This window comes from Homo sapiens, chromosome 2, assembly GCF_000001405.40.
Source record: "Homo sapiens chromosome 2, GRCh38.p14 Primary Assembly".
Lineage (NCBI taxonomy): Eukaryota > Metazoa > Chordata > Mammalia > Primates > Hominidae > Homo > Homo sapiens.
This window is the reverse complement of record NC_000002.12, coordinates 71826728-71838117: the sequence shown is the minus strand read 5'-3', so window position 1 is coordinate 71838117 and position 11390 is coordinate 71826728. Positions and strand designations below refer to the sequence as shown.

General features: G+C 45.5%; 1 annotated feature.

Moving 5' to 3' along the window:
• Positions 6718–7917: an enhancer, noted in NCBI's record as "CDK7 strongly-dependent group 2 enhancer chr2:72057331-72058530 (GRCh37/hg19 assembly coordinates)". NCBI's record gives its function as "activates an origin of replication core promoter dependent on BRD2, BRD4, P300/CBP, MED14 and CDK7 cofactors, with strong dependence on CDK7, by STARR-seq in HCT116 cells {active_cell/tissue: HCT116}" and the evidence as "EXISTENCE:reporter gene assay evidence [ECO:0000049][PMID:35650434]".

Genomic DNA, 11390 nt, shown 5'->3' with positions numbered 1-11390 from the left:
CTGTATTGATATCAGTATAAGTAGAATTGTTATTATTGTATTGTTTATCTTTTCATTATTGATTTGTATCTTTATTCTGGATATGAATCAGATAGATAGAGTTCTTCTAGTTTGTATCTTGCTTTTTAATTTTTCTAATAATATTTTTTGATAAGCAAATATTTTTTATTTTGATGAGCAAAAGTTATGTTTATAATTTTTTTAATTTTATGGTTAGTACTTTTTTTTGTCCAACCTAGGAAATCTTTTCCCCGAAGTCATAAAAATATTATCTCATGATTTCTTCTTGAAGCTTTATAGTTTTAGCTTTTACATTCTGATCTAATCCAGGTCTAATAAATTTTTGTGTTAGGAGTCAGCATTGAATTTTGTTTTCCATATGGCTATCCAGTTGTTCCAGCACTATTTGTTGAAAAGACTTTCCTTTTCCCATTGAATTGCATTGGTACCCTTGTGGAAGCTGCAATGCAACAAACAAAAAGTTATATTTTCCAGCTTCCCTTTGCAGCCAGATATGTCCAAGTAATTAAATAAGCTCTAGCCAGTAAGATATAAGTAGAAGTATTGTAGGAAACTTCCAGGAAAACCCTTTTAAGGGGCAGAGACGTTTCTTTATCTTTGCTTCCTGTTCTGTCCTGATACTTGAAAAGGGTGAAATGATTGGAGCTTCAGCATTGATCTTGGAATATGAGGTGTCCCTGAGAATGGAAGCCAGGGTAGTGAAGCAGAAAGATCCAAATAGTGTGGATTTCTTATGACTTCATGCACTGCTCTACTAACTGTGGGCTGCCTACCTTAGGCTTCTCTCATGGGCAAAGAGAAATAGTTTTTTCTTTAAGGCACTGAAGTTGCATCTCCAGTAGGCACTGCCAAATCAAACCTTAGCTAGAGTAATTGTTTAATAATATTTCTTCACCAATATACTATAAGACCCAATGAGGAAGAGACTGTTTCTAGTTTGTCCCCTCCTATATTCTGTAATTTGGTGCAGTGCTTATATAAATTGGATTTATGAAAAGAAAATAAAGAAGGGAAGGAAGGTAGGAGAAAAAGAAGGAAGAAATCAGGGGGAAATGTAGTCTATCTGTGGACTCTTAACTGTACGAATGATCATAATCCAAGAGTGTTTGTTAATGAACCAGTGTCAACCTGAAGACTATACTGGTTCCTGCCTTCCTCAACATTTTCATCAGTAGTTTGCATGAGAATAATGGCTGGACGCAAATCAATTTGACAGATGCTGTAACTGTTAACAGAAATAATTAGTACATTAGACTCTACAATCAGGAGCCAAAATATCTTAACTGGTTGGTAGGCAGAATAATGGCCCTCTCAAAATTGTCCATGTCCTAATCCCTGGAATCTAAGGATATGTTACCCTTCATGGTAAAAGGGACTTTGCAAGTATGATTATGTCAAGCATCTTGAGAAGGGAAAATGATCCTGGATTATCTGGGTGGGCCCAATGTAATCACAAGAATCCTTTGATACTGCTGTGGCTGGTCAATGGAAAAAAAAAAAAGAAAAAGAAAGAAAGAATCTTTTGAATAGTTACAGAAGGAGATGTGAGGGTAGAAGCAGAGTAGGAGAGAGGTTTGAAGATATTGTGCTACTGACTTTAAAGATGGAGGAAAGGGTCTTGAGCCAATGGATGCTAGCAACCTCTAGAAACTAAAGAAGACAAGGAAATTGGTTGTCTCTTAGAGCCTCCAGAGGAACGCAGCCCTGCCTAGGCCTAGATTTTAGCCCAGTGAAATCCATTTTTGACTTCTGATATGCAGGGCTACAAGATAATACATTTGTGTTGTGTGTTGTAATTTTTTTACAGCGGCTATAGGAAACTAATACTCTGGTTGAGATGATAAGGTGCATCTAGCAAAACTAAGTATTTTAAAATGTAGGTTTAGTACAAAATCCTATATTAAGGTCCAGGAAAATAACCAAATACAAATTGCCAGGACATAGAAGACTATTTCAGTTTGTAAAGGGCCTAAGAATTTTGATTGACTATAAGCTCAGTGGAAAACAGACAGACACAAAAATACTTGCAGTCTTGGAATGAAAAAATGCACCATGTCATCATTTAGGAAGGGCCCCATGGGTACCACGCCATCTCTGATACATGGCGCTAAGTTGTGGCTTCAATCCTTTAAACAGGATATTGACAAATAGAAGGGGCAGCGAGATGGGGAGGAATCTGAAATCCATGTTTCAAACAGAAGAAATGGGGCATGAAAATTTCATCAAAAGAAGAAAAGGTCTAAGAATACTTGCCATTTTATTAAAAATATATAACTTATGCTTTGTGCTCCCTAGGGTAGAACTCAAACCCAGAAGTACCGAGAGGTCTATTTTAGTTCCACATGAAGAAGAAATCTTTAACTGCTGAGGTGGCCCTGAGATGGGATTATTTCTTTGGGGGCAGGAATTCTGGGGTCCCTTCCCCTAAATGTATCTGAACATAACTTGGAGGTGTATTTTAAGGTCCCTCTGGCCCTCAGAGAATGTGTCCCTTGAATGGGAATGGGAAGTGTGTTAGGAATGGGGTTGTGGAAAGGAGGGGAATTACTTTACTTTCTCATCCAACCATCTCACCTCCACTCAAGCCACAATTACAAGAAGAAACCTGGACAGTTAGAATTCTGGCTTCATCTTGGAAAGCCCCAAATTTTGCTGATACAGGAAGAGGGGCTTGAGTTCTTGTCAGGCAATTCACGCCCACTCTCACCTCAAGTCTCTCCACCCCATCACCAAAGGAAAAATACAAACCAAAATAAAAACATGTTATTACATCAGTAGGGCTTCTCACAATCAGTCAAGTCTTAAAATTGAGGAAATATTGTATTTTCTGTTTTGTGCCAGTTCTCAAAAAAAAAAAAAATAGAGTGCCAAAATTAGCTGTGGTGTTCTATTCCTCACAGAGCCTCACTCCTGCTGATCATGGAGAATAAGGAATCCCCCTCCCCAACTCCTCCCTTCCTGGGGCACTCTGCACCCAATCCCCCAGGAACCCCAGCTTTGTGGGGGAAGCATGGGGGAACTCCTTTCCCAAAGCGAGACATGGCTCTTGACTTTAGGGAGGGCTCAGGACTCTGTCTCTTGCTGGGTCCCAGCCTTAACATCTGCATGGGGAGAGGTCAGATGAGGGACACAGATTAATGAGAGAGTAGACAGCCTATGCACAGTAGACAGCGCAAGAGAGTAAACAGCTCAAGAACCTCTTTCAGGTTCCAGGGAACAGGGGACCCTTGGGTACAAAGGATCTCAGGTTGGGGGGTGCTAAGAATGCATCCTTCCTGGAACAAACTTGAAGCCACAGATTAGTAGTTTCAGTCCTGCACATGGCACCCCCAACTATTGCCAACTTTAAGGGAATTTCCATCTCTCCTTTGCCCCTCAGTTCACCCTCCGCCCCTGCCCAATCCCCAGGATGGTGGGAAGGGAACTGTGGAAATTCCCTTTTTAGGAACATGGGGTAACAGAGAGCAGGATAAAGGGATACTGAGAACAGAAAAAGATCCTTCGACCCCCACCCACCCACTTTCATCCTCAGCCAGGGCACTCTCCGAAAGGAAGAGGGACTCACCAGACTCATCTGCAGGTGCTGAATTTTCCCAAGGCCTCTAGCCCACCCTCCTCCAGTCTCCCAGCCAGCCCATCCCACTGGGGAGTCAGCAGGCCCAGCCAACAGCTGGATTGTGCAATCAGAAGCCCAGATGTGGCTGGGACTCTGGCTTGCGGCAGCTGCCTCTGTCATCACCCAGGGCCTATGGCCTTCATTTCACCCTTGAGCTGTACTCTAGCAACATTCCTGTCCCCATCCCAGACAGGTCCCACCCAGCCACCATCCTCCTCCAGCAGCTCCAGGAAACACTTGGCGGCTGAGAATCAACAGCCTAGCTCGGCCACAATATGTCATGCGACCAGTGTGGGAGGCCTTACCCTACCTAGGCCTTAATAGGTATGAGCTAAAGCTTGAGCCCAAGTTCTCCAGTGAATTTTCTCCTCATTCCTGAGGTCTTTGAGTTTAGTGATGCATTTATTGCTCCCCACAGGAACTGGAAAAGATATAAAATTGCTTTTATTGCCCTTGGGTATTCTAAACAGGGCAAGGTCACATCCCGTTGTGCAGCTACCATGACCACTGTTTTCATAAAACCTTAGGTGTGGTCAATGTCATGCAATGCCATTGATTGTTTGGCCTCAGAGTTGGCAGCTGGTCAGACTTACAGTAGGCCTACTCACTCCTCCAGATAGGAGAGCCTGGCTCAGCAGATGCACTGTAATTATTTGCTAAACAGAAAAATAAAATGAAGATTCACAGAGATGGAGAGAATTGTCCAATGCCACACAGCAAATCAGCAGCAGAGATGGGATCAAAGCCCAGGTGTTAAGCCTTGCAATCAGATTCTTTTTCTCCATACCATACTCTCTGACTTCATAATGATAATGGTGGTAATAATGGTGATAGTACTGGTGGCTGATGATAATGGTAGTGGTCATGATGGTGATGGTGGTGGTGATGATGATGATGATGATGGAAATAGTGATGATAATATTGGTGGTGATGGTGGTGGAAATGGCAATGGTAATGGCGATGATGGTGGTAATGGTGGTGGTGATGATGGTGATGATCCTGCTGGTGGTGGTAGTGTTGATGGCAATAATAGTGGTCATGGTAGTGGTGATGATGTGGTTAGGTGATAGTGGTGATTATGGGAGGAATGGCGATGATACGGTGATGATGATGGTAATGATGATGGTTAAGGTGGTTATAGTATGATGATGGTGGAGATGGCGGTAATGATGGTGACACAGCCTTGATGTGATAATGAAGATAAATTGCCTTCTCTCAGGGAATTCTCTTTAGGAATACATATTTTTGGATTTAATTCTTCAACCTTGGAATGATTTGGAGTTTGCGTCCTCATTCAAATCTTCATTCAGCAGCAGAAACCAAGTGTTGTGTGGCTGCCATGAGAATGCCCTGTTGGAACTCCTGCTGTGATGAGCAGATGGACAGGTGGCTCCTGCTGCTGTCCTTATAGATCTGCCATATCACTTGTGCCAAGGCCCTGCTTCCCAAGGGCTACTCTGGCCAGTGACCAACCACAGCGAGGTGACTGGCTCAGGCACTCCCCGTCCGACTCCACATCATGGATGAAATTTTCTTAGAACTGCACTGCAGTCTCAGACTCTTCCTCCCCAGCCCTTCTTTCTTCCTTCTCTCCTCCATAGGAGTCCAACATGCAGTGCCATCTGAAGGCTGTGCTCCCCTTCTCTAGCTCCTTCTCTTTTATTCCTCACAGCCATTTCCCCCAACAAATCTCTTCCATGTCTGCTCATGTCTTGTTCTATGTTTTTCAGCAGAATCATATTAATAAGCCTGGGTCACCAAACTGAGTAATACCACTCTGGCAAAAATAAAAATAATGGCTAAAATATTTTAGCAATGAGAAGAATTTTCTTCTGTGACTTAGAAGCTGTATCTGAGGACAGTTCCAGGCAGGAATGTTTGTAAACTTTGAGAAGGAAATTTGAGTTTGCCTTTGGCTAATTAAATCCTTGCTAGGGATCTGACATACAGTGGAGAGAAGGGAGGAAGGTGGGGGATCCACAGGACAGAGATCCCCTAAGGGGAATAAGCTAGATATGTTTCAGGGATGGTGAGCGACTCAGAATGACAGGAGTGGAAGAGAGGAGGAGGGGAAGAGAAGCTAAAGCTGGGCAGAAGCGGGGAACCAGGTAAAGACCTTGCAGCCAGAGCAAAGACTTGAGATTTGATGAGACAAGAAAAGAGGTAACAGAAGACTTGTGAAGGGGTGGCAGTGGCATTGCAGAGGGGCAGGGTAAGAAGGGGTTTCAGGGAAGGTACCACTTGGGGGCTGTGGGGGTCATCCTGCCAAGCAACAAGGAGAGCTGGGATTGAAATGGTAGATGTGGCAGAAATGGAAAAGTGGTGCTGAGAAAGGATGGACCCATTTTGCTGCCTAACTGGATGTGGGAGGTAAAGAAGAGGAGCCATGTCCCAGGGGCTCAGCCTGGGAGGAGACTGGAGGCATCCCTGACATAAACAAGATGGCCGAAAGGAGTTACATTCTGGAGGGAAGACTGTGAATTGTTTTGGGTCATGATTCTCCAGTAGTCATGTCCACTGAGGACTTGAAAACATGAACCTAGAGCACAGAAAAGAAGCTTTAGACTGGGTTGTAGCGAGGGAGCAAATGAACTCTCCTCTAGGAGCCGTTGTGTGCACTATAGATTCCTAAATGGAGAAAGCAGAGTCTTAGAAAATAACCTGCCCCTGCTTTGCTGGCAGAGAGGTAGGAAATGGCGATGGAGAGGCAGGGAGCTGGAAGGTAACAAGACAGACAGGAAGGGCAGAATTCCCGGGAAACAAGGTTGAGGCAGACATTTGCAATCCTGAGGGCTGGATCCCACAACCCGCGTCCTTCCACAGCCTTCCAGCCTGAGGGGTGCCCATATTGGCCCTGAAGGAAATGGGGACAGGCATCTGGGGCTTCCCATGGACCTCAAAGAAACTCTCCTCTAGGGTCATGCCAGAACAGAAGGGTGACATTCTGGCAGAGCTCGGGACTGTGGAGCCTCCCATGGGGCAGCCTCCTACAGCCTGCTCCCGTGGTGCAGTGGACACGTCGCTCTCCTGGGGTCAGCGCTGGGGCGGCAGCAGCCTCTGTGTGAGGTAGTGGTGCTGGCATCTGCTTCCCTGGAACAGGCACTAGGAAAACAGATGACCTCAGGCTGAAAGCTCTTAGAATCATTGCTCAGAAGAGGGCAGAAAAGACAGGCTAAAAATACACGCAGACCCAGATTCCCTACCTCTCCAGAAAAATTCCAAGAGAGTGTCCTACAAATGCATCTGATGCAGGCCCCTGAAATCTGCTGTTTCCTCACCAGCCTATCCATCACTCTCTCCTCGGGGCTTACACACCTGCCTTCTACCCAGGCCTGGCTCCTCTCCATCTCCAGAGCAGGCTGGGCTCCTTCCTACCTCCCAAACTTTGTCTGCATTCTCCCCTCCCCGAAGCACTCTCTCTTCTCCTCGTGGTTTATCCTCAGCTTGTTCAGGACTCATATTCATCTCACAGATCACCTCTGACCTCTTCTGGGGAGGCTCCCAGGCTTCTAAGCTCCTTTTGACTAAGAACCTGAATCACACAATGTGCCACTGGATGGTCTATCTTTCCCTCAATTTCTGAAGGTTAGATTGATCTTCTTATAAAAGAATCTTCTTAATGGCAGTCGGGGGAGGAGCGTGAGGAATCTCTGCCTGGGCTTTGCCCTGTGCCTCCTCCCTTTGGTTGAACCTCTGGGGGCCCTGGTGAGATCTCACATCAGAAGCTGGATTTCGATTGCTGCCGTTGTAACTGACTGGGATTTTTATTCTTTAGTGGCAGGAATGAGGACACGTGGAGTCAAGGGTGTGTCTCATGGCTGACCATTCCTATACAACTGTACCTTTGCTCTTCCCCCAGGGCCCTCTCCTTCTCACTGCCTCAGTCCAGCTGTCTCACTCTGAATGTGGGAGCCTCTGAACTACAAAAGCCCTGGGCGTAAGCAAACAATCTGACCCCTAGCAGGTCTCTAAAAGTTGCAGGTCGATAGAAGGAAGGAAGGGAGAGATGGAGGGAGGGTGAGAGAAGAAAATTAGTTTTTAAATCTAAAACTTCGGGCAGAAAAATGGAAATGAGGAATAAATATGTAGACTTTCTATAGCACAATTTAGTGTGTAATTATAACATACAAACAGTACAGTGGCTCACAAAGACATCAGTCTATCTCAGTTTTAACAAAGTAACTACAGATTATGGTCAGAATAGTAAACATTAAATCTTTCAATATTCTGGAGAAGAGCCAGGATGCTTACCTCTACAGCTCAGCTTGACTCACAAAGGGAGGGAAGTCCTCCTAGCTTCTCTCCAACCTTGGGCATGGCAGGGGGAATGATCATGAACCTCCTCCTCATCTTCCTCCTATCTGGTCCTTGAGAAACGCGTTGCTCTAGTCAGAGCAGAATGCTCCCTTGACCAGGCTTTCTGAGAGTGGGCTCACTCAGATACCACCTTCCTTTCCCTCTCACTTCCTGGGACTCAGCCTTCCCAGGCAGGCACGACCACCTTCCTGCCCACTCTCGCTTACTGTGCTGTGTCACACCTCCCAGACACAAAAGCAGCCATGTCTTTCTCTGTTTGCCTGTGGGTAGGTGGATGGGACATTTCCAGCCTATAGCTAGGTGGAGACGTGGATGTTAGGGACTTGGGGACAGGAAACATCCCTTGGGCTTCCAGGAAAGGGTCTCTGGGGCCAGCCCAGCTTATCAGAGAAGTCCTGCTTCAGGGAGATACTGGGCACTCATCAGAGATTGAGCTACTACTGTGTTTCCCTTTTGGATTTTATCCTTATGCTGTGATTCCCTTGGCAGGAAACCTGGAAGGAAGGGAGGTGAGCAGCCAGATTCAGGCCCCAAACCTCCCTGGAGTCCCAACAAGAAGCCAGGGCAGCAGTAATTCAGTGAAGATGCTGAATATGCCGTTCTCAAGGTCACACTCCCCCCATATCCTGTACATTCTGTGAAATTCTGCCCACAAGGCAGTGGATTAAGGTGGAAAGGAAAGGCTAAGAGATAGGAGACCTACAATTCCATCTCTGCTCCTAAAGAAATCCTTCCTCCTCTGCGGCCTCAGTTTCCTCAATGTAGAATGAGACTCCTCACTTGAAGCAACTTTATGGCCAGAATTTAGTTTGATACTTACAACCTTGTGTGCAGGAGAGAAGCCGACATGATCCCAGGCGTTGGGATTTAAGGGTGGAGTGGTGGAGTTAGGAGAGGAAACTCACATGTGTGAACCAACTGGCGAAAAATGCAAGAGAGAGTTTGATTGAATGCCTGAGTTAGTGGATCAGACCAGCAGTGCCTGGCTTGTGGGCTGGAGCTCTTGCAAGAGATCTGTACATCCATATGCCCTACAAGCATCGACCGAAGGCTGAATAAATAATACAACTTGCACGTATATGTGGGACTATTTTTCAAATCATCAATGCTGCTGTCACAAATAAAATGCAGATTCATTTGAAAGTGGTCCTGAATGCAGACTCCCTTTGGGTTGCTATGCATTTTCTCAAGCAGCAGACCTTATAAAGACAATTGTTGTTTACAGGGACATAAAACAATATCTGGCCTTTTATTTAAAATACTCGAGGGAAAAAAGGCAGGGGTGGATGAAACTGGAAGGAGAGAATGTTAATAATTATTGAAGCTGGATGATGAGTATTTGGGGGATTATTATACTCTTGTCTCAACTTTTGTATGTTTGACATTTTCCATAATAAAATGTTTCTTTAAAAGTATAAATGCTCTTTCTTATGTGGTCATTCATGAAATCTTTTGACATTAAAAAAGGGATTATTTGTGGAAAGCTGCTCACAACACACTGTTGAGTGAAAAAACACAGTTATAAAGCCATATGTAAGTATGAGTCTAATTCGCTTTCTTTAAAACAGCAAGGGTGTGTGCGTGTGTGTGTGCAGGAAAAAACCTTCATTTTAGACCTTCACTAAGATGTGAATGGTGGTTAACCCTAAGTAGAGGAAATGGGGCAGGTTATATTTTCTTTATTTTGTTTATCTGTATTTCCAATGAACATACTTTCCTTTTGTGATCAGCCTGAAATATTTGTTAAGATTTATGGTAGGTATTCTTAATTCAATAAGGCTGGGAGTTGCTCCTTCAGGGAGATGGGCGTGGGTGCCAGACCTTGGGAAGCTGTCATGGTGGACAGCCTCACCCCGGATCTCAAGAATGGGTAGGATTTAGAAATCCCCAGGCGGGTGAGAAGGCGTGCTGGGCAACACATAAACCAGGACATCTTGTCTTGAGAGAGTGACTTTCCCAGGGCAGGGGTGAGCCCAAGGGCCAGGGGCTGCAGAGGGTGTAGAGCAGGGATGGAGGGGCTGGGTGGGGCAAGGTCTTGAAGGGCCAAAGGGTTCTGGGAAAAGAGGAGCCTGAATTTCTGGCTAAAAATTGCCCTGGGTATGTGTGTGAGTGTGCACGCGCATATTAGCTGTGGCATTCAGAGCAAGGAATAATTGGAAAAACATGGCCAATGCTGAGCCACACGCATTTGGGGACATGTGGCTCCAGTTCTAGGATTGTTTGTCATTCCTTATTTCAGGGAAGCAGGAAGACAAAAGATGAAGCATTGAACTAAACGAAGATTCAGATGACACCAAGGAGTCAACTTGAGACCAAGACCATCAGCTATCAAAAGACATCTTTTGGGGCCTCCACCCATCCCATGACCAATCACACTGTGAGGTTGTCCATATGTCCTGCCAGCTGCCGCCAGGACCAGTGCCTTAGCAACAGGAGCTTTTGCACGCTGGGAGAGGGAACTCTGGCACCTTCCCAAGGGTTTGCCGGAAGGGAGCTGGAGGGGCAGCAGGATGGAGAGGAAGAGGGCGCATTACAGGCAAACTGGAGACAATCCGGGAAACTCCCAGAAACCCCAGCAAAGACTGCAGAGAGAGCCTGGGGATCCACAGAGGCCTACATGACCTCAAGGCCCAGAGTCACTGGCTTCCAGAAGGCAGGGAAGTTGATGACATGCATCTCTGTACCTCTGTGTCCTTACCGGTAACTAAAGCAGAGGCCTGGGGGCCTGGTGGGGAAAGTGGCCCAGATCAGACCTCTAGGGGATCCAGAGAAGGCAGAAGACCTTAGAGGATTCAGAGCCTAGGCTGGGAAAGTAGTCTCTTGCTGGGAAGACCTGCAAAGGGATGGCCATTTGCAACCCTCTTGAGCAAGATGGTGGAAGGTGGACTTGTAAACTGCTAGCATGGGGCTTCCCTGAGTTCTCTTCACTCATTGCTACCTAGAAGACCTTGACTTCACCTAGGGTGCAGAGTCTTGAGGTTTTAAGACTGAATGCGACCTTACCCAACCTTGCTCTGCCCTTTGCCAGAACACTACATGTGGTACTTGACTCTGGAAAGACAACAAACGTGAGATTCCCTTCCCAGTCCTGCATCCCTAACTCCTTTCGCCTGGCTTATCTCCTCCTAGGAGGCCTGGGCGGCAGCCTTCCCCAGGAATGTAAGAGCTTCCTCTTTGCTCTTCCAGCCAAGTCCCTTTCCCCCTTCACTTAGCTAAAATAAGATTGGACTTTCTCAAAATGTTTACTAGGAAACTAAGAAATAAACAAAACAAAACCAAAGGCAAGTGATGGAGGTTGATGAACTATTACAGGATTGTAGAATCTAACAGCAATCTTCGGTCAAAGAACCCAACTCAAATCTCTCGGGATTTTTTTTAGAAGTGCTTCTTATTTCTTCTTTCTTATTTTATTATACTAGTCCTCATTCTCATTATG